This window comes from Homo sapiens, chromosome 5 (genome assembly GCF_000001405.40).
Source record: "Homo sapiens chromosome 5, GRCh38.p14 Primary Assembly".
Classification (NCBI taxonomy): domain Eukaryota; kingdom Metazoa; phylum Chordata; class Mammalia; order Primates; family Hominidae; genus Homo; species Homo sapiens.
In genome coordinates this window covers 32,706,858-32,730,677 of record NC_000005.10, presented here as the reverse complement: position 1 = coordinate 32,730,677, position 23,820 = coordinate 32,706,858, and the positions used below count along the sequence as shown (strand labels likewise).

The window sequence follows — 23,820 nt, the reverse complement described above, 5'->3', positions numbered from 1 at the left end:
GCTAGAATATAGAAACACAAGTGATTTTTGTATGTTGAACCTGTATGGTGGGACCTTGCTAAACTCATTAATTAGCTTTAAGGAATTTTTCTAGATTATTTGGGATTCTCTACATAGACAGCCATGACATCTGCACAAAACAGCAGATTTTTTCTTCTTTTCCAAACTGTATGCTTTTTATTTTCATTTCTTGCCCTGTTTATCTGGCTAGAACCCCCAGTGGCAAATTGAATGAGTAATGAAAGTGAACATCCTTGCTTAGTTTCCTGTATTATGGGAAAAGCATTCAGTCTTTCACCATTAATTGTGATATCAGCTGCGAGGTTTTTGTAGGTGTTCTTTGTCAACCTAAGCAGGTTCCCCTATGTTCCTGGTTTTATAATTTTTTATTTTTTATTTTTAAAATCATGAATGAGTGTTGAATTTTGTTAAAAGCTTGTTCTGTATCTATTGATATGATCATGTGACCTTTTTTTTTTAACTTCCTTAATTTGATGGATTAAGTTGATTGCTTTTCAAATATACAACCAACTTTGCATCCCTGGGATAAACCCCGCTTGGTCATAGTGAAAACTTTTTTTTTAAGTGTCAAAGTCATGAAAGACAAGGAAAGACTGAGGAACTATCACATAGTGGAGGAGATAAAGGAGACACAACAACTAAATGGCAGTGTGAGATCCTGGATTGGATCCTGGAACAGAAAAAGAACATTAGGAGGAGAAGTGGTAAATTTCAAATAGGCCTGTAGTTTAGTTAGTAATATTGTGCCAATGTTAATTTCCCTGTTTTGATAATTGTACTATGGTTATTTGGTAACATTAGAGGAAGCTTGGTAAAATATGTACAGTCATGCCCCATATAACATTTCAGTCAATGACAAACAACATATATGACAGCAGTCTCAGAATATTATAAAACTGTATTTTTACTATACCTTTTCTATACTTAGATAGAATCTATGTTTAGATACCCAAATACCATCATGCTATAATTGCCTACAGTACTCAGTACAGTAACTTGCTGTATAGGTTTATAGCCTAGGAGCAATAAGCTATACCATGTAGCATAGGTGTGTAGTAAGCTATCTGCCATTTAGGTTTGTATGAAAACCTATGGTGTTCATACAATGATGAAACTGCCTAACCACTCATTTCTCAGAATGTATCTTCATCATTAAGCAACACATAACTGTACACGAAGTCTCTATACAGATTAAGCTTCCTAATCCAAAAGTGGGAAATCCAAAATGTTCCAAAATCCAAAACTTTTTGAGCATCAACATAACAACATAACACCACAAGTGGAAAAATTCCACACCTGACTTCATGTGATAGGTCAAAACACAGGCAGGCCGGGCTCGGTGGCTCACGCCTGTAATCCCAGCACTTTGGGAGGCCGAGGTGGGCGGATCACGAGGTCAGGAGATCGAGACCATCCGGGCTAAAACGGTGAAACCCCGACTCTACTAAAAATACAAAAAATTAGCCGGGCGTAGTGGCGGGCGCCTGTAGTCCCAGCTACTTGGGAGGCTGAGGCAGGAGAATGGCGTGAACCCGGGAGGCGGAGCTTGCAGTGAGCCGAGATCCCGCCACTGCACTCCAGCCTGGGCGACAGAGCGAGACTCCGTCTCAAAAAAAAAAAACAAAACAAAAAAAAAAAAAAACACACAGGCACACAATATTATTCAGCATCCTCAGGGAATAAAATAAAATTATCTTTAGGCTATGTTTATAAGGTATATGGAACATAAATGGATTTCATGTTTAGACTTGGGTCCCATCTCCAAGATGTCTCATTTTACATATATATATATATATATATATATATATATATATATATACACACACACACACACACACACAAATATTCCAAAATCCAAATAAAAGCTTGGAATCTGAAGCACGTTAATACCAAGAAATTTCAAATAATTGATTTTCAACTTATATTTTTTGCAAGTTTTTTATATCTGAAATTATTTCATTATAGAAGGGTCTTTTAAAGTTGTCCAAAAATTACCTCCAGAAAGAAGTTAGGTGCAAATACAGAGTTGAGCTGTTTTCTTATTTCAAGGAATATTCCTATGGTATCAAAATTGTTATAGAGCATGGAAAACAATGGAAAGTATCTCAATTAATTCTATAAAGCTAATAAGAACCTGATATTAAAATCTGGCAATACTATCCCAAGAAAAAGACTCTTTTTTTTTTTTTTTCTGAGATAGAGTTTCACTCTTGTTGCCCAGGCTGGAGTGCAGTGGCAAGATCTCAGCTCACTGCAACCTCCACCTCCCAGGTTCAAGCAATTCTCGTGCCTCAGCCTCCCAAGTAGCTGGGATTATAGGCACACACCACCATGCCCAGCTAATTTTTGTATTTTTAGTAGAGACGGGGTTTCACCATGTTGGCCAGGCTGGTCTTGAACTCCTGACCTCAGGTAATCCATCTGCCTCAGCCTCCCAAAGTGCTAGCATTAAAGGCATGAGCCACCGCAGTCCAGCTAAAAACTGCTCTTGAATCTCACTCATGAATATAGACCCAAAACCCTAAATAAAACACTAAAAACTTAAACTCAACAATATATCTTTTGAAAAATCATCATGACAAAGTACACTTGATTCCAAGAATGCCATGGTGGCCCAATATTTTAAAATGTATTAAGAGAACAGGTCAAATGCATTTGATATTATTCAATATTCATTTCTGATTTTAAAAATCAGACTTGATAAACTAGGAATAAAAGGATACTTTACCATCTACTTCATGACAGAAGTCAAAATTTAAAGTATCACCCCTGTTATATGATATTATTCTGGAAGTTCTTGCCAATGCAATAAGAAAAGAATAAGAAATAGGATGTTCAACTATCAAAACAGAGAAAAAAACTGTCATTGTTATTTGAAATGATATAAAAACTATTAGAGCAGAGGATTTAATAAGTAGAATTCTTGCAAAATAAATAAACAAGAACTCATTGCTTCTCTACATAAATACCATTCCAAAATACAACAGGAAAAGATCATGATCATAATAACAACCAAAAAACATAAAATACTAAGAACAAACTCAGCAAGAATAATGCACAATATAAATGAGAAAACTGCAAAACTTTGCTTATAAACATAAAAAGAAATTCAATTAAATAAAATAAGGTAAAAGATTATACAGGCTTGACAAGGCTACAGGAAAACAGATAATCACATACTTTGCTGCAAAAGTAAAAATGGACAATATCTATCAAAACCTAAATGGCAGGCAGCATGGTAGCTCATGCTTGTAGTCCCTTTGGATTTTGGGAGGCTGAGGCAGGCAGATCACTTGAGCCCAGGAGTTCGAGCCCAGCCTGGGCAACAAGATGAAACCCTGTCTCTAAAGAAAATAAGAGAAAGTAACCAGGCATGGTGGCACATGCCTGTAGTCCCAGCTACTCAGGAGGCTGAGGTAGAAGGATCACTTGAGCCCATGGTGTTGAGGCTACAGTGAGCCAAGATCACGCCTCTGTACTCCAGCCTGGGCAACAGGGTGAGATCCTGTCTCAAAAAAAGAAAACAAAACATTAAATGCACATAACCTTTGAGCCAACAATTCCACTTCTAGAAATTTATTTTACAGATAATATATATGTATAAATATGTGAGAGAGAAAGTGTATGTGCGTATGTACACTCAACACAGCATTGTTCTTAATAGCAAAAAGCTGGGAACAACATCAATATTGAGAAATAAGACTTATAAAAGATGACTATCAACATTATAAAAGAACATGTAGCCATACCATAAATAGTATGATCAATATATTGAAGAATATTTTTGTAAAACATGTATTTATAAAATAGGCAGGATGTACATACTTCCAAAAATTATCAGTGTACTTTTGTCTGTGTGGCAGAATTATGGTAACTTGTTTTCTTTCCTGTGCTTTTCTATGTTTTCTAAATTGTCTACAATACTCATGTATTGTAATTAACAGGGAAAAGTAATAAAAGCTTTATCTGTGGATAAGAGGAATTCTAGTACCTAACATTTATATCAGGTACTTGCCAGACCTCATGCCTCTAAATTCACATGCACTGCCTCTAAACTCTGTATTTGTAGTTGCCAACTTGCAAAACTCAGCATACATGTTTTTCATTTTCACCAGTTTCTACCACCATTTCAATGAACTCAACCCTGCAGCCCATAGTAAAACTACATTCTGATCTTGAGTGAAGAAGTGAAAGCACCACTCTGCTTGTGTAAAACAGAGGGGAAAAGACCATCATGGCAGGAAGGAGGGCAAACTAGGGTGTTTATCTTGCAAGCCTCAAATCTCTAATTTTATCCACTACAGGAAGCAGTGGCTACTTTTGTTTCATCAACTTTTCTTTATCTCCATGATAAGCGTGTTTTATTATCTGTATATGCACAATGATGTACTGCTCCAGTAAGCCAGGATATCAGGGCAGGAAACCGGGGAGTATGTTTTAAGGTTTAGATCCTGTCCAACTATATCTCATCAGCAAGAACTGGGAAGTGAAGCTCAGTATAAACATGCCATTTGTGATATACACACTTACACTTCCCCTACAACTGCTCCGCTCTGAGCAGCCAGCATGCAGCGTTTGAGAAAATGTTCTGTAGCCCGATGCTGTCTGCTTCAGAGAGAGCCCTAACCACATTTGGGGGAGAAATGTCTTGTACCTGTTATCTTTATGATCTCCTTAAACACCCTCCATGACAGGAACCCTGCAAAGTTCCCCAGATTCATTATAGGGAATTAAATGCTTTCAACTCTATACATTGGTGGTTCACAACTTCTGTATAGGAGAGGTTTAAGGTGCAGTAATCTGGAAGAAAGAGGGGACTGGGAGCAGTGGCTTTCAAATGATTTGTACCTCAATTTGCAGTAACAGTTATTTTATTTCACACTGTGACCCACTGTAAACATAGGTGTAACATGCACATATACACACAAATGTGCAATAATATTACTAAAGTAAAAGCTTTCTAAAACAATACACATGCTAAGTGTGACACACTTCACCTATTCAGTAGTGTTATGTTCTAGTCTATTCCATTCTATTAAAAATTCTGCCCAAATCTCACTGAAATTATTCTGATCATGATGGTATCATGATGATTGCAATGTGCAGTTGGAAAAGCACTGGACAAGAGGTCTTTGGGGCCTGGATTTATGACCATTTGGAGTGCAGGAGTGGGCTACGCTCATACCCAGACAGGTGTCTTGACATCATAGGTACATGATATCTTTTTGCTCCAATTGAATTGTTGGAGATGAAGCAAATTCAAGAAATTTTTGAGAAGCTGTAGGAGTGTTCAGAGTCACAAATTTCCAAAATTGCATTTATGGAAATCACATTTATGGACATAACTCAAATTTCTGAATCTTTCTCACAACCCTCTTGTTTTTTATTTTAACTTTTACTCTAGATACAACGGGTACATGTGCAGATTTGTTACATGGGAATATTGCGTGATGCTGGGGTTTGGAGTATGGATCCCATCACCCAGGTGGTGAACGTAGTACCCAACAGGGTTTTTTAACCCACCCCCACCACCCCTAGAAGTCCCCAGTGTCTATTGTTCCCATGTTTATGTCCGTATTTGCTCAATGTTTAGCTCCCACTTGTAAGTGAGAGCATGCAGTGTTTGATTTTCTGTTCCTGCATTAATTTGTTTGGATCATGGCCTCCAGCTCCATTAATGTTGCTGCAAAAGACATGATTCCATTGTTTTATAAAGCTGCATAGTATTCCATGGTGTTTATGTACCACATATTATTTATCCAACCCACCATTCATGGGCATCTGACAACCTCTCTTGGAACCCTAGCAGAGGAGGGGAAAGTGGAAGCAGAGTTACCATAGGAAGAGCTGTTGAAGAGCTCAATGTTGAAGAAGGCGTAGTCTCCACTGGTCATGCCATGCCTGTGCGCCACCAGCATGATGCTCCGGATGGTGTCACTGCTCGCACACATGATCACCACTAGGGGAGGAACAAACAACACACATGAGGCACCCCTTTGCAGAGCACTTCGAGCATGCTGACACCAGTAAGGGACATCTGACAAGGAACGGGATACTTATATGGTCCTGAAGTATCTCCTCACAATCACTTGTTAACTACAAATGGACCATGGAGGAACCTAGCAGACGCCTCCATAACCAAGAGATGGAAGCCAACATCACCAACCATGGGAACACAGACTCATGAGACACCTGGAATAACACTTTGAGGACCAAAAATGTCCAGATAGGCAGCCTACATCTAATCAGAAGGTGGCAGCCACAAACCCAACTTGGGGGATGGTCTGTAGAAAATCGGCCTACGCTCTTTAAAATGGTCAATTTTATGAACAACAAAGACAGGCTGAAGAGACATTCTAGACTGAACAAGGCTTAAAGGAATAGGCAACTGACTGCAACGTGTGATGCTGGATTGGATTCTGGACCTTAAAATAAATACATACATATATACATAAATGTTTTGCTATAAAGGGCATTATGAAGATGACTGGTGGAAAATTTGAACAAGTTCCATACACTAGATAATAGAATTCTGTTTGTGTTAAAGTTCTTACTTTTCATAATTATGCTGTGGTTATGTAAGTAAACATTCTTGTTCTTAGGAAGTACACAGTTGAATGTTTAGGGGTAAATAAGCATGATTCTGTACTTTCAAATGGTTCATAACAAGTATTATCTGTGTGTGTATGTATATGTACACATATATTGATTGATTGATAGATGATAGGTAGATGGGTAGAAAAGAGGAGAAGAAAGGAAGGGAGAGGAGGGGAGAGGAGAGGAGGTGAGAGGAGGGGAGAAGAGGGGAGAAGAGGAGAGAGGGACAGGGAGATACTTGAAATCATAAATCAAATGTGGCAAAATATTAACAATTGATGAAACTCTAAATGAAGCTTTTACAGACCAGTTCTTTATACTTTCTTACGTCTTTTCCAAAAGTGCAAGATTATTTCAAAATAAAGTTCTTTTAAAAAAAACTGCATCAAATAAATCACCAGATTTGCCGGATATAAGATAGTGAAAATTGTCAACTGCTTTTTATACTTAATAGCATGGTAAATGCATTGTCCTGAAAAAGCAAACTTAATGATTTTAGAGAGAACATTCACTTAGCAAATCAGAGGATTCAGAGGGTGCTACAAGCTTTCTGCTGTTTGAATTTTAAAACATTATTTTCAGGTTGTCTCAACATACATAAGAAATCGTTTGTAAGATTCCAGGTATCTCTCTCATGTTCTCTCAGTTTATATCCACACTGTTGGATTCAAGAGGCTTCACACAACTCGAGAGCCTCTCGAATTGGATATTGTTGCCTACCACATAAGGGCTACACAGCCTAGAATGAAGTAGGGCTTGACCATTACCCAGTCTATTTGATCCCTGTTGATAGACCCAGGTCTCCATGACCGGTACCACTGTGTTTTGCTGCACACATACTGTGCAGAGAGACCTGGAGAGACCTGGGTGCTATAAACCGCATTATCACGATGCATGCCAGCCCTCCAAGATGTGTATGTTCTTTGTAAAAGCATGGGTGCTGAAAGACATAAAACAAACTTCAGGCTATGCCAAAGCGGCCTTGGCAACCTGCATGGAGGTTGGGTTCTTGTTGATATTTAGTTTACTGCGCACGTTAATTCAGTGTTAGATCATGACTCTGACATTTCATACCCCAAAAGGGCTCGGTGTACAGCATAAAAGCTCTAGAGAAAAAGTTTTTAAAACAGTACAAATATTAAAGATCTACAAGTATGGGAGTAGGTGTTGCTTCTGCCTGAAAGTATAGGTATACATTTGGAATAAATAATCAATTCCAAGATGCCTCAGTAAGAAAGTTTTCAAAGAAACTCCTAATTATTTGTTATGATTTAGACCCTTGTTTCACCTCTGATTTGATTCTAGCCTCTTAAATGAACAAAGAGCCAGGGTGTCCCATAAAACATTCAACAAGGGACTGAGGCTGGACAAGTTTGAAGAATGTGGATTCCAAGAGTGGATGTCTCCAGGAGGTTCCGGGAAGTTCTGGCTGACTGGCCACCAAGCAGCCCTCATCATTTTTCGATCAAGTGATCATAGTCCAGGGTCTGGCTCTCAGTCCCAAGATGCAGAACCTGATTCTGTCAACATATAGAGAGTAGAGTCATTGCTTAGGGGCAAGTTTCCAATAACCTAACTCAGATATGTATAGGTAATCTGAAATGCATACTGTTTAAATTCAATGAGGTCCAGGATGGTTATGAATATATTTGTGTCAACATGCCCTATACCTGAGCATGCTAACTGGAGAGACAAATTATAAGCAGTAGGATGCAAGTAAGGATGAAATCAGAATCAGGGAGGCCAGTAGAGGATTCAGATGTCAAAGGCACCAGAACTTGATGACCCTAGGCATCCATCTAAGAGATATATCTGGTCCAGGACCAAACAGCCAGGGTCCAAGGACCAGAGGACAAGCTTTCCTAAACTTTGCCTGAAGTTTCCCTAAACATTGGCTTCTGTGGTACTTTTTTTTTCTATTTTTACATTCCCGGCCCATCTCCTTCTCTCTCTTCCTGCTATGGTTTGGTTGTGTCCCCCAGATTTCATGTGTTGAAAACTTAATGCTCAAAATCATTTGTTGGTGGTATTTGGAGATGGGGCCTTTGGTAGATACTTATGATTAGATAAGGTCACCAGGTTGGGTCCCCTAAGATGGGACTGGCAGTTTAGAAGAAGAGGAAGAGAGACCTGAGCTGGCACACATTTGCTCTCTCACCATGTGATGCCTTTCATAGTGTTATGACACAGCAAGAAGGTCCTCACAAGATGCCAGCACCATGCTCTTGGACTTCCTAGCCTCTAGAACCATAAGCTAAATAAACTTCTTTTCTTTACAAATTATGCAGTCTGTGGCATTTTGTCATAGCAACAGAAAACAAACTAAGACATACCCCACCACCACCAAGTCCTTCTGATGGACACATTCTTTGTTTTCTTTTCTGTTGTTATTTTGTTTGCTGGTTCATTTGTTTGGAGACAGACTCTCACTCTGTCACCCGGACAAGAGTGCAGTGGCTCAGTCTTAGCTCACTGCAACCTCCATCTCCTGGGCTCAAGCGATCCTCCCACCTCAGCACCTCCCAAGTAACTGAGACTACAGGTGCATGTTACCACACCCGGCTAATTTTCGTTCTTTTTGTATAGATAGAGTTTTGTCATGTTGGCCAGGCTAAGTGATCGGCCCACCGTGGGCCTCCCAAAGTGCTGAGATTACAGGCATGAGCCACCACGCCCAGCCTACCTTCTTTCTGTAAATGTTAGTAGCCACTTAGACTGAGCAAAAGAGACATAGAGTGGCACTGTGTCTATCTAAGCAGATTTTGATTATTTTAGATCTTATCCATTTTGTGTTGGCCATGTGATTTAAGATTCAAAAGGAAGCCCTAATTTCCAAGTTCATGAGCAGAGCACTGTCTTTCTTGAATGAACCAAACACATAATGCACATTATCATCCAGTTCCAGTTCAAACTGGAGCAAGCACCTAATGACACTTGCAAAGTAGTCAGAGTGCATGATCCTAGATTTTTATGATGCTCCCCAATCTCTTAGGGTTGTCTCACTCATGCCTAATTGAACAGCAAGTATTTTTAGTAACTTGCCTTTATACAATCAAAAGGTTTAGAACAGTTTTAATTAAAATAACTTTCTTTTCCTGCTTATGTTTCATCAATTTATATAATAACTAATTAAATTACATATTTATCATAATAAGCACAACCAGCATCAACAAATTTGTGGACAACTCTTAGAAAGTATATGAAGAAGTATGAGAAGTGTGCAGCATATTCAGGAGAACTATACTAGCTGCCAGCACCTACCAACAGGTGATAAGATTTATAGAGAACAGAGGACATCAGCTAATCCTGCGACCTGCATAAGTGGAGGTTAATTAAGGCAGTTTTTGTTGTATCTCAGTATAGTTAATATATAAATATTAATTTTGGGTCGCATTGTTAAAATTCTAAAAGAGGGAATGATGGTGTAACTGTAACTTTATGTATAGACTTTTCTTCATTCTACTCTATTTCCTCCTCCTTGCCAAAGAACTTTCAATGTTCCATGCCACCCTCCATCATCTGGTTCCCACAGTGACTTCTGTAAATGGCTTCTCACTATTGCATCATGTTCTTGCAATCACTCTAAGAACAGCAGAGAGAAATGCGAAGAGGTAGCTATAGAAGTCAATTCAGAGAATCAAAAACATTCCAGGTAGTATCCCTGAATTGGGGGGATACTTATTTCCAAAATCTCAAGTTTTCATTGGGAGAAACCTCTAATGTGCTAACATTTCTCATCTCTCAATGTGCTTTCATTTACACTCCCCTCACCCGCAACAAGAGGAAAAGAAGTGAAATGTCTGATTGTTGAGCCTAAAACTGAGTATGCTGGCTCAGTCTTTTCTTCCCTCTTCTTTGGGTTGTGGCTGTTTGCAGAAAGCACACATCATGGGCTTCTTTTGTCACATGGTCAAGAGTTAGCAGGGGAGATTTGCAGCTAAATGGCACTATATGTGATTTAATAGATATTCCTGCCTAATTCTGGGAGGAAGTAATAGCAAGCAGGCCCTTTTGGAAATAGATCTAAATCCATGTTCAACTGCTTTTATCAATAATAAGGATATATTCATATTCTCCATCTGGTTACTGTACCCATCTTCCAGTTAATTACAAATTTAGAAGGAAAAGAGGGATATCACTGCATGGAAGCAAAGCAGAGTATGCCATGTCCTGCACACTGAAAATGTGATACCAAAAATGAAAAACTCAACAGTAACTTTAAAAGTGGCCAAGGAAATATCCAAACAAGATGAATTACAAAAAAAAAAAAACAACAACAACATAGGTGGTAAATAGAAGGTAAGAAAAGTAGAAGATCAATCCAAGAGGTCTAGCATCCAAATAAGAAAGAAACCTAGAAATAGGAAATAGAGAAAATGAAAAGGATACAATTATCACAGAAATAACTTAAGAAGTATTCCCAGAATTAAAAGATGTGAGTTTCTGGATAAAAGAGGCCTATTGAGTACACAGGGAAGAGGAGAACATTCTAAAAATTTCCAGGAAAGCAAAGCAATGAACTATAAGTTCAGAATCCAAACTGATTCCAGCTTTCTAATAGCAATGTTAGAATTTAGAAGACAGTAAAGCAATACTGTCACAATTCGAGGGAAAATTATTTCCAACCTAGAATACTATAACTATGTGTAAAGGTATGATGAAAATTTTTCAATCACAAAACCTCTCAAAATTTAGGCCTTATTCATCCTTTCTCAGAAAGCTCTTGGAGGATGTGGTCCAACAAAACAAAAACATAATGAAAAAAGAGAAACACACAGGGATCTAGCTCAACAGAGAGGTGATGGAAGTCCCAGGAAGATGTTGAAGAACCCAGAGTGGCAATTGTGCAAAATACCTAGAAAATAACTGGGATGCAAGGCAGGTTCAACATACGCAAATCAATAAATGTAATTGATCACAAAAACAGAACCAACAACAAAAACTGCATGATTATCTCAATAGATGCAGAAAAGGCCTTCGATAAAATTCAACAGCCTTTCATGCTAAAAACTCTCAATAAACTAGGTATTGATGGAATGTATCTCAAAATACTAAGAGCTATTTATGACAAACCCATAGCCAATAGCATACTGAATGGGCAAAAACTGGAAGCAGTTTTTCCCTTTGAAAACTGGCACAAGACAAGGATGCCCTCTCTCACCACTCCTATTCAACATAGTGTTGGAAGTTCTGGCCAGGGCAATCAGGCAGGAGAAAGAAATAAAGGGTATTCAATTAGGAAATGAGGAAATCAAATTGTCCCTGTTTGCAGATGACATGACTGTATATTTAGAAAACCCCATTGTCTCAGCCCAAAATCTCCTTAAGCTGATAAGCAACTTCAGCAAAGTCTCAGGATACAAAATCAATGTGCAAAAATCACAAGCATTCCTATACAACATTAACAGACAAACAGAGAGCCAAATCATAAGTGAACTCCCATTCACAATTTCTACAAAGAGAATAAAATACCTAGGAATCCAACTTACAAGGGATGTGAAGGACCTCTTCAGCAACTACAAACCACTGCTCAATGAAAATAAAATAAAATAAAATAGGACACAAACAAATGAAAGAATATTCCATGCTCATGGATAGGAAGAATCAATATCATGAAAATGGCCATATTGCCCAAAGTAATTTATAGATTCAATGCCATCCCCATCAAGCTACAAATGACTTTCTTCACAGAATTGGAAAAAACTACTTTAAAGTTCATATGGAACCAAAAAAGAGCTGGCATTGCCAAGACAATCCTAAGCATAAAGAACAAAGTTATAGGCATCATGCTACCTGACTTCAAACTATACTACAAGGCTACAGTAACCAAAACAGCATGGCACCAGTACCAAAACAAATATATAGACCAATGGAACAGAACAGAGGCCTCAGAAACAATGCCACACATCTACAACCATCTGATGAAATGAGAAATGGGGAAAGAATTCCCTATTTAATAAATGGTGCTGGGAAAATTGACTAGCCATAAGTAGAAAGCTGAAACTAGATCCCTTTCTTACACCTTATACAAAAATTAATTCAAGATGGATTAAAGACTTAAATGTTAAACCTAAAACCATAAAAAACCCTAGAAGAAGACTTAGGCAATACCTTTCAGGACGTAGGCATGGGCAAGGACTTCATGACTGAAACACCAAAGGCAATGGCAACAAAAGCCAAAATAGATAAATGGGACCTAATTAAACTAAAGAGCTTCTGCACAGCAAAAGAAACTACCATCAGAGTGAACAGGCAACCTAGAGAATGGGAGAAAATTTTTGCAATCTACCCATCTGACAAAGAGTTAATATCCAGAATCTACAAAGAACTCAAACAAATTTGCAAGAAAAAAACAAACAATCCCATCAGAAAGTAGGCAAAGGATATGAACAGACACTTCTCAAAGGAAGACATTTATGCAGCCAACAGACACATGAAAAAATGCTCATCATCACTGGTCATCAGAGAAATACAAATCAAAAACACAATGAGATACCATCTCATGCCAGTTAGAATGGCAATCATTAAAAAGTCAGGAAACAACAGATGCTGGAGAGGATGTGGAGAAATAGGAACACTTTTACACTGTTGGTGGGAGTGTAAATTATAGTTCAACCATTGTGGAAGACAGTGTGGCAATTCCTCAAGGATCTAGAACTAGAATTCTCATTTGACCCAGCAATCCCATTACTGGGTATATACCCAAAGGATTATAAATCATGCTACTATAAAGACACATGCACACGTATATTTATTGCGGCACTATTCACAATAGGAAAGACTTGGAACCAACTCAAATGTCCATCAGTGACAGACTGGATTAAGAAAATGTGGCACATATACATCATGGAATACTATGCAGCCACAAAAAGGCTGAGTTCATGTCCTTTGCAGGGAAATGGATGAAGCTGGAAACCATCATTCTCAGCAAACTATCGCAAGGACAGAAAACCAAAAACCACATGTTCTCACTCATAGGTGGGAACTGAACAATGAGATCACTTGGACACAGGGCGGGAAACATCACACACCGGGGCCTGTCAGGGGGTGGGGGGTGGGGGGGTTGGGGGATGGATAGCATTAGGAGAAATACCCAATGTAAATGATGACTTGATGGGTACAGCAAACCAACATGGCACATGTATACCTATGTATCAAACCTGCACGTTGTGCACATGTACCCTAGAACTTAAAGTATAATAATAAAAAAACACTCAGGAGATTTAAAATAAAGAATTAGAAGATTATTTAATTATAAATCCATAGGAAATTAAGCAAATAAACAAAAACAGACTGTTTTAACTCCAAGGAAAATAGGTAGGGGGAAAAAAGGAAATGTCAACATAGAAGCCTATGTGACTTAACCTTAAATATCATTTAGAAAGTAATGATAATATTTATACTGAATACTGAACTAACTAAAAAATATTGTGTAAGAGATGGGGTCTAGCTATGTTGCCCAGGCTGGAATGCAGTGGCTATTCAAATAGGGCAATCCATAGCCTCAAACTCTTGGACTCAAGCAATCCTCCTGCCTCAGCCTACTGAGAAAAATTTTGGCACAACCATATTGGAAAGATGACTGGAAAGAAAGCTTGCATGTGTGGTTAACAGGCAGTAGAATGATCAAGAAGAGAATTTTCTTCCACTGGGATTCCAACAGATAAGACCTAAAACTGAAAAAAAAAAAAGTAGCATGTTATTAAGAGATATGAAGGTCAATACCTACAGGAAGAGCTAACAAGAATTGAGAGTGAAAAATGGAGAGTAGGAGACAGGAACCTTTTTCTCCTCATAAACCTTGTGTAGTTTTCTCACTTTCTATAGCTGTAGAACTAAATTTTGGTAAAATGTAAATCTAACTTTTTTCAAAAAAGATTTCTCTCTGGCTGTTTCTACACTCCATAGCAATGGATATTGTTTGCAAAATGGAGATTGCATCTTTATTTCTGTTGTTCATAAAGCTCCATCTACTCCAAAGGCCTTTAGAATTTCCACAGTGCAGCCTACAAAGCTCCTTTTTTCCCCTGCTGTGTTAGTTATTTTACACTTATCATGGGTTCTTTCCTTAAAAATGCTGCTGATTGACCACTCGGTCATTTACCCCAGACTAATTCTAAAAATAAATGTTTCTTGTATTGATTAAATACTGTTATCTCTATCTCTACAGACTGTATAATGTTGTACAGTCATTATGCAGGCCCAGATTAATGACATACTAATAACTAAAAGGATAAAACTACAGTTCTTCACATAAAAACATTTGCGTTAGGATACTTCTAGTTCTGCATCATATAAAGTGCATCGACAAAACAACTACTGGCTTGTATTGCTTGAAAAAATTATTTCTAAGCCTGTCTTTTTAAAACTAAATTTATTGTTAAGTGTGTGGAATATTGAGGGCAGTAGCTGGCTGTGTAAGTGAATCTATTTTAAATAAAGATAATTGTTTTTAAAAATAATATAGGCTCAGGTCTGTTTATTTTAGTGGCATTAGCGAAAGACATGACAGGAAAAAAAAAGATTTTAAATTATTGACTTAGATGGTAAATCCTTAAAATGAAGGAATAATTGATGCCCCTGTTTTTCTTTCTACAGTATGCCATGTGAAATTTTAGTCGCATTATTATTTGAGATGCTGGCACGGTCAGTTTTTTACTTGTTCAAACATTTGTGATTTGGTTTTAAAGAGAAACTTAAGTCCAAAAAAAAAGTAATACCAATGTTCTCACCAAAAGAGGGAGGAACTCTCTCTACTTTAATTCATAATACTTAATAGGGAATTTTCAAAAGCAAAAATACTGTCAGTTGCATTTTCACACTTGGGTGAGAATATCAGTTTGAAGAGGCCTGATTCTCACCCCACACATTGTTTCACAGAGAAGAAAACTCACATAAGGAGGCCAGCCAAATCCAGAGGCATCTGCATCTCAGCCCAGGGTTCTTTCCCATGGCATGGCCTCACCCTTGGGGTAAAGGTGATTATCATCATATATAAAATAATAACTACAATGAAACCGCACATTTATTGAGCACTTCATATTCTTCTGGCAGTGCTCCCAGGCATTCCTGGGTTAGCTTCTGTAACCCTCACAGTTTCCCAAAGACGTGGGTGCTCTGACTACCCCCACTTTACCTAAGGAGCTCGAGGTACAGAGGTTTCATAGCAGTCCAAGATCCCCCAGCCGGTGACTGAGCCAGAAACTTCACTGCAATCATGTACCGAAGCCCTATTTAATACATTAAGTGCTTACGGTAAAGTAACTGTGTTACTTCAATGTATTTTTAAAAGGTCCCCTAAGAGAGCTTTGTTATCAAGTAACTTTTTCTCTCGAGTGTAAGGAATTTCGGGGTGGAAGGATGATTAGAGGCGATTGGAGGACGATTAGAGGAGAAACTGTTTTGTTTCCTATTTCTAAATATCTGCCAGGTCACTGTTGGAAATACTTTTTAGAGTAAGAATTGTAAAATCCTAACCTTATCACTTGTAAAATATACAGGTCAGTTAAGCAAACTTTCACCCCTCAATGCAAACTTGGAAAAAAAAAAAAAAAGCAAAGAGACTTCGGAACGTCTATGAGGCTTTTGGAATTAAAAAATAATTCTTACAGCCGACTGCAGCCCTAGTCCTCAGAAGCCCGGGGCGCACCAGTCCCCAGGCCCACCAGGGCACTGCTGTCCGCCCAGCCCCAGGCCTCAGCCACCACTGTGAGGGCGAGGGGCCCCGGGGCCGCGATCTGCCCTCCTCTGGTCTCACACATGCCCTTGGTTTTGTATCCCAGGCCACGTGCGCCGGGGCAGCCGCTGACATTGGGATCTACAGGGTAGTGACATTACGGACGAGTCAGCAAACCGCGGATCTCGCCCATAGGGGGACACACCCCCAGTCCCAGCCGGCCTTGGGAAGTCTCTGACTTCTAGCGCCTAGCCCTCGAAAGCCGAGAACTGGAGAAGCAGGTTCCGGGAGCCTTAGCAGCCCGGGGCGCAGACACCCCCGTGGAGGCTGCAGTAACCTGGCGACTGGGACTTGGGAGTGTAGATGTGGGTTCCTTGCCGAGGCGTGGCAGGCGTGGCAAGTCCGCAGCCGTTGGACACACGTGCCCTTTTTCATAATCGGCAAAGCCTGCGCCCCGCCTGCTTGGCTGGTAGGAATTCGGCACAGACAGCCTGGAGTTCCAGAGCTCAAAATTTGGCCATGCATTCCCACTGTCAAACACCTCTCGCCTCTTTGCTCTAAAGGGTGAGTCCGAGGTGGCCAAGATGGCAAGGCGGTGACAGCAGCGCCATTATCGATGGCTTCTCTGTCCACTCTCACCTGTTCCTGGGGCCTTCGGCCTCAGGTTGCGCTGTCCCCTACGACCAGCGCCCAGGTGCTCGGCCATGCCAAGTTGTGGACTAGCCCGGCGCCTGGCTCAACTCCGCTCCCCTTCGGTCTCATCCGCGTGGCACTGGGGTCTCGGGGAGCTTTGCCGGGATTGCACCACTCACATTCCAGGCGCGTGAGCGCCAAGGGGGAGCAGAGACGGGATTCCCTCATCGCAGTGCTCCTAATCCCTGACTAGAGGGAGGAGGGATCGGCGCTATACCGGCATCTCAGTCCGCCTTCCCTCAGATTCTACCCTACCGTAAAATGGGCCACACTGGCGATTACACGTCCGCGTCCCCCCGCTCCCCGAAGCCATAGCCACCATCCTCAGCCTCGAGCTCTTTGTCCAGTTTGGGTTTTATTCCAACACCCAAAGACCCATGGAGAAAACTTGGGGGACAGGTGGAAAGAAGGTTCAGCGCTCGTTTCTTCAAAAGGCACTCCCGCAAAGCTTAGCTCTGGGCGCATTAGAAACTGCGTTGCAGAACACTCTGGGAGAAGTGAGTGTCGCCAGAATTCAGACACACAGGGGCATTTTTGGTGGAAACCACAGAAGCTCGTTTATAAGGGGCTGGAAGGGAAATGAAAGGAATGAGAAGAGTGAGTCAACAAGCCTTTAAAAGAAACCTGGGGTCTGTGGAAACAACAGTCAGAGAAACCCCAAGAGCGGGCGAGCTAAGTGGCGACGCCTCGCTGCGAGGCGTCCGCGGACGCTTCCGCACTAAGTGGGGGCGCACGCTGGCAAAGGACTGGGGAACAAGTTCTTTCCGCCTCGGATGCTTCAGACCCTGGATGGAGCCAGGCACTGGGAGTGCGCCCCCTAATCACCAGCCCGGCGCTGGCAAAGTGGAAACTGGGAAGAAAAAACATCGAAGTGTTTGACAGCACCTGTTGGACCTGGGCACGCAGGAGCTACAGACGCCCTCTCCTCCAACCCCTTCACCTCCCTGGGACCCTCTACGTACACCGCGATGGGCGGTCGTCAAAGGTTGTCGCAGCCACACGGCGCATACCTGAACGAGTGCCCGCGCGCACCCGACCTCAGCGCCGCAGTGGGGAGTGGGGTCTGCAGAGTGGACGAGTGTGCAGGGAGAGCCGCGGAGAGCGGTTGGGTTAGGGCCCGGGGCCCGGGACGCGCCCCTGCTCACCTCTCTCACTGGCCTGGATATTGCGCACGATGTCTTCCAGATCCAAGTCTTTGGTCTCGTCGAAACTGTAGATGGACGTGTGCAAACCCTCCTCCTGGAAGACCTCGTGGACCCCCTCGAGGGTGAAGTAGCAGTTCCGCTCCAGCTTGTCGTCGCTGTAGACCAGTGCAGCGCGGCTCCAGTGGTGGTGGCGGAACAGGGCGAGCATCATCTCGCCCATCTTGGCGTAGGCGGGCGCCACGCGCGTGAGGTGCGAGTACTCAGAGTCCTTGTGCTGGAAGCCAGCGGCCAGCGCCCCAGCCGACAGCATGGGCAGGTCCCAGTGCGATGCAAGCCGGGCCACTGGCGCTGCTGCATACTCGCACACTGGCCCCAGGATAAGGTCTGGCTTGGCGCCCCGCGCCGCCGCCACGCGGTCCACCAAGCTGAAGAGCGCACGGTTCCCACAGTCTGAATCCTCGTAAGCCACCTGGAAGCGAGTGCCCGGCGGCAGAAGCCGCCTCCCAGTCCCGTTGCCCTCCACGCTGCGCAGAGCATACTCGATGGCCGGCCGCACCCGGGTGAGTGAAAACAAGTACGAGTCATCCTGGGGCAGTAACACCAGCACCTCGATCTTCTGTGGCGGCAGCGCCTCTCTCTCCTGGCGTCCGCCGCCTATGCCCGCGCCACCGCCGCCGCCGCCAACGCCACCGCCACCGGTGCCGCCGGCCAGCAACGCCCAGCCGAGTAGTACGCACGGGGAGAAAGTGAGCACCAGCAGAGACGGCATCGTGCCGCAAGAAAGAGCTTGCCCTCGCCGCCGCCGACTCGCCCTCTGCCCCCCACCCACCCTTCCTCTTTCCTCCCCACTCTTCTCTCCAAGGTCCCTGCGCCCCCTTGGGCGCTTTAACAAAATAGAATACCCCCTTCACTAATGCGCCAAAAGATAGAGAGGAAGCGTCCTTCTCTGCAATGTCACTAGTTTTTCTTAAAAAAAAAAGAAAAAGAAAAAGAAAAAGTTCACCGGGTGTAAACCTGTGCGTCTGTAATATACATATATATATACTTGTATATATTCGCCCTCCGTTTATACATATACTATTTTGCTTAGAGGTGGCTTCTTATTTGGGCGTTGCTAAGGTTGCTTTTGAAAGCGTTTTTGTAGAAGAAAAAAAAAGTTAGACTTGTCCAAGTGTTTGTAATTGACGGTGCATCTCCCTCGCATTTGATCTCATTGATTCGCGCCGGTTCCTGGATCCATAGCCCGCGTTTAAATAGCGTGGCAGCGGCTGAGCGTGTTACCACACATGGCGCGCCGAGGCCGGGCTTGTGTTTCCAGCGGGTGGGGTGGGTGGGGGTGGGGAGATGTGGGGGCTGGGCTGGGGGAGTCTCTCATTAACATTCTTACATCAGGGCTCCTCCCTGCACCCCTTCACTACCCATCGCGCCCCTGTCCCTAACCACCACTCCCCGCAGGCCCTCTGCCTTTTCCTTAAAGCTGAAATCGCCCACGTCTGCACCGGCAAGAGCCCCCACCACGCCGCGTGCCTGTGCGATCACCGCCTCTCCCTTTCCACGCTCTCCAGCTCCTGGCTTCAAAAAAGGAAACGTGCTTTAAAGTAGAGAAATGCGCGCGCGCACGCACACATACACACACACACACACACACACATATACACACACACACCGTGCAAAAAAAAAAAAAAACCAGGACTGGGGGAAAGGGATGGTTCTAGAAATTGTGGTTTCGGTGCAAAAATCCTTAGGTGCCGCTTGCTCTCACCTTTCTCGTTCTGGCCACATTCCCTCCTGAAGCACCGACGCGGGGCGAGCACCTGACCTTCCTGGTCCCTCGGCGCAAGGTCAGGGAACAAGGACCAAGGTCCCAGTGCAGATGGCTCCATCGCGGACCTGGTGTGCCCGGCTGGCCCGGGCGTCACCTACACCCCGCCTTCCTCAGCCCCGCGCCAGCCCCCTCCCCCTGGGCCACGCAGGTTTGCGCTGGAATCGCAGCGGTGCCGAGGTCACAGTGTCCCAGCTCACGGACCCTCTGTCAGCGCACTGAGAGCAGGAAAGTGAAACTTGTTGCTCCCAAAGGCGAGGGAATGGTTCAACTTCTGGAGGTGTCACAAAGCTTGGAAAGCATCCCCAAAGCGTCCTCGGGGCTTTGTTTGCTAAACCAGGTACCTAAATAAAGGGACTGTCTTTCCCAAAACGTTCCCGGTAGGTCCCCCGGGTACGACACACGCTCCCCTCCAACCTGAGTGCTCAAAGATCCAACCGCTCCTTCTCTGGAGCGCTCGAGGCACTGTGCTGGGGTTCCGCGACTCCAAGAAAGGTCCTGCCTCGGAGACCCAGTCCTCCCACTGGCCATAGCCACAGCAGCGGTGGAGACCGGAGGGAAGCGGCTCTGGAGAAGTCCGTGACCAGAGGAGCATCGCGGGAGTCCGCCGCGCGGCGGGGCGGGTCAAAATGGAACTGGACCTTCTGTGCCTACTGCAGCCAAGTCATTTGCAATGTGAACGGGCTACACTGGGCGGGAGAATTCTGACAATTAAGTCCCGCACATTTAAATACATTGAAAATGTGTTAAAATGGTCTTTCATTTGACTAGGCGTCCGTGTCCACAAATTTCTTTTAGTCTCAGACCGACGCCCTCTTTCGGCAGAAACTTGCACCCGACTCAACCCGGGTGCCGCAGTCCCAGACGCTGCGTTTTTTACTCCGAGGCCTTTAACGCGCTCTGGTTCTCACTTGCGACGGTGAAAAGGCAAACTGGGGTTTCTGGGGATATGGCAACTTCTGGCGTCAGCGCTCGCCTCCCTTAACAGCACTCTCCTTATCGCTCTTTCTGGAACCGTCAATGTGATTATGGGTAATGTTTCAGCTTCTGGGTCATTTATATTCAGATTATGCACTGTGATCCCGAAATCTTCACTGTTAAGTAGGAGCTTCTAATTCCTGCGAGAATTTCCATTTATTTAATTAGAGCCACTAACCAGGAGCAAAAGAGACATCTGTATAAAATTTAATTCCACAAACAGGGTAATCCACACACACTGGAAATTGAGATTTAGTGCTCCACAGCAATTAAATCTTTCCTGAATTTGCAGAAGGGCAGGCGTTTATGGCAGCACAGATTAAAAAAAAAAAAAAAGAAAAAGAACAACAACAAAACAAGAACTAAATCATGAATTCCAAGGGTCTTAATGGATTTCGAAACTGGTTGCCAGGCACTGTGCTGGGGTTCCGAGACTCCAAGAAAGGTCCTGCCTCGGAGACCCAGTCCTACCACTGGCCACAGTGGTAGGAACCAGTGTTTCCTATTACTCTGCGGTATGCCCTGTGTCTGCGGAACACCAGCCAATGGCGATATGATTCTGCCGCGTGTGGTGTGGGTTTATGCGGAGAGTCTGGGGTTTCAGTGGCACCGGTGTGAACGCCTGTCCCATCCCAGATGCTACCTAGCCTCGCCTGCAGTTCAACAGCAGGGCAGTGCGCTTAAGTAAGGGTGAGTGCCCGTAGCCTCTCCGCAGCTTTTGGACAAGAGCTCTCGACTTGCAGTTTGTCACACTCAAGAGCAGCAACAAGACCAAGCTGCGGAAGGGAAGAGACCCCAAACCAAGCAGCGGAACGAATTAAAAAAAAAAAAAAAGCCAGTGTTATGCTTTTGCTGAAGCTCAAAACACCCCTTAAGAATTCCAGTGAGCAACAATTAGGGTTTTTAAAAAACCTTTTCAAATGAAAAGAGTCACAAGATTATGGGAAGACCCACCAAGTAATGTAAGTGTATGGATTTCAAAGTTACGGGTTTGTTTACTTTCCATCAAGTTAGAATTTTTGCAACCAACTGAAAGTTTGTGTAAATAAGTAGTTCTAAATCTTCAGGCCAGAAGACTTAAGTCACCCAGCCTGACACCCCTTACTCTCTAGATGAATTAAGGCCCAAACAGTATAAGTGATATACTTAAATACCTCTTCATCCCCTGAGAATATTTTTAAATGGGATTGTATTCAAAGTAAACCAAGGACCACCAGTTACATCATGTGAAAGTGTTAGGAACAAAGTTAATTTCTACTCTAAGTAATAACATTCTTTATATCAAATTTTTATATATATATATAGCTAAGTTTGGAGGCTAATACAGCACAATAAACCCAAAAATAACATTTTGTAATAGAATTTTTGCAGCACTTTAATCACAAAAATGAATCAAAAGGAAAAAATAGAAATAACTTATTTATTTGACTCAATTTTTAAATATTATTTCTTTCAATTCTGTAAAACACTGAAATGGGGAAAAATAAGTATTTTTTTAACATTCAAAAGAGTGGTAACCTTTTTACTAGGTGCTTCCTTTCTGGCTTCAGTTGTTGAATGAAACCAAAGGAAAGTTATGGGAAAATGCTGCAAAATGAAAGAAAATTAGCCATTTGAAAGAAAGACAATGTTAGCTCTAAACAGGATATTTCAGAAACTAATAGACTTTTTATGAGGTTTAGAAATGTTTTACTTAATATCCACAAACCATGTTTTGTTGTTTGGGTTGTTTTTTTTTTTTTTTTTTTTAAAGCTACTACAATAAGGTGGCAAGCTACTACAATAAGGTGGCAAGTTTTCTATAAAGTATTCAACGGTTTATTTTCCAGCTCTATGAAATGAAATTACTGTCTATATGTTATTTCTCACTACCAGGAAAGACAGCATTAATATAGGAAAACTAACATGTGATTCTTTGAAGTGTATTAGAAATTCTATCAGAAGTAAGTTTTCTCCACCACCAACTGTAACAGTCTCTGCAACTCTTCTCCCTTGGCATCCTGGCTGCAACCTCTAAACTAAGAACCCACCTAGATTTTCAGAGGTCCTTTTCTCCCTTGTTGAGCCAGCCCTAAAGTTGTATTCGAGAATACCCCTGTGAAGCCTGTGGCCCACAATAAAATACCTTCTGAGGCCAGAATTGTTGAAAACACACTCCCCCCTAGAGGCAGAAAAGATGAAAGAACATTACAAATAATTCAAGAACATTTCTGTAATGTAATCAGTGTTGAGATTTCATTCTTTACATATAGTTGCTGTTTTAGAGTGAACTATTCAAGAAGTGGGGAAAAAAAATCAATGGATGCCAAAAAATTAAATTAAAATTTTGCCTCTAGGTTCTTACTTTCCTTAGCAGGGACTTTATTAACTTACTCTTTTTCTTCTATTATATAAATCTATTATTTTAATTTGCCAGCACTATAAATAATAGTAATTTTATATTTTTCTAATTAAATTTATAATTCAATCTCATCAGAAGCTGCAGCTAAATGTGACCTTAAGGGGTTCTTTTGAAAACACAGAGTTGTTTCTTTATTATAATCCTCTTAGATTTCCATCAACTACCATCTTTTTTTCACTTCTTTGAAGATGTTCTGAGGCAAAGTGACATTAGAAAGACTTCTGAAAAACGTATAGCTAGTCAGTGATTTAACCTGAATACTGGCATAAGATTTGCAAGCTATATGAAGAATTCTCATATCATTGATTTATAGACAAGTTAATTTATGTAGATTATTATATTCACAAAAACGAGTGTGAATGGGGACTTCAAAAAGTTCATGTAAAATGGAATTAAAAGATAAAAATTTAAAATATGAACTTTATTTCTTAACAAAAGATTCATCAAGTTCAAGACACTCTTCTGAGTGGTGATCCCAACCATGTAG

General features: G+C 42.0%; 1 protein-coding gene across 6 annotated transcripts in view, besides 3 other annotated features; it reads right to left on the bottom strand.

Annotated features, from left to right (window-relative positions):
* Positions 1 to 23,820, bottom strand: part of NPR3 (natriuretic peptide receptor 3) — a 100,849-nt gene that overhangs the window by 61,043 nt on the left and 15,986 nt on the right. For 2 of the 6 annotated variants that reach the window (NM_001363652.2, NM_001204376.2), the window contains exons 1-2: positions 19,895 to 20,029; positions 5,858 to 5,980 (exon numbers count right to left, since the gene is read on the bottom strand). In NM_001363652.2, the coding sequence (NP_001350581.1) occupies positions 5,858 to 5,980; positions 19,895 to 20,015 (244 nt within the window). In that variant the 5' untranslated portion in view covers positions 20,016 to 20,029. Of the gene's footprint in view, positions 1 to 5,857; positions 5,981 to 18,132; positions 19,358 to 19,894; positions 20,030 to 23,820 lie in introns of those variants that run through there. The other 4 variants (NM_001204375.2, NM_000908.4, NM_001364458.2 and 1 more) reach the window with 3 other exon arrangements.
* Positions 18,101 to 18,395: a silencer, noted in NCBI's record as "tiled region #158; HepG2 Repressive non-DNase unmatched - State 10:DNaseD, and K562 Repressive non-DNase unmatched - State 21:Repr". NCBI's record gives its function as "represses a minimal TATA promoter and a strong SV40 promoter by Sharpr-MPRA in HepG2 and K562 cells {active_cell/tissue: HepG2 | K562}" and the evidence as "EXISTENCE:reporter gene assay evidence [ECO:0000049][PMID:27701403]".
* Positions 18,101 to 18,996: a biological region, named in NCBI's record as "Sharpr-MPRA regulatory region 158".
* Positions 18,271 to 18,996: an enhancer, noted in NCBI's record as "H3K27ac-H3K4me1 hESC enhancer chr5:32711788-32712513 (GRCh37/hg19 assembly coordinates)". NCBI's record gives its function as "activates a minimal SCP1, AML or CMV promoter by ChIP-STARR-seq in primed H9 embryonic stem cells {active_cell/tissue: H9 hESC(primed)}" and the evidence as "EXISTENCE:reporter gene assay evidence [ECO:0000049][PMID:30033119]".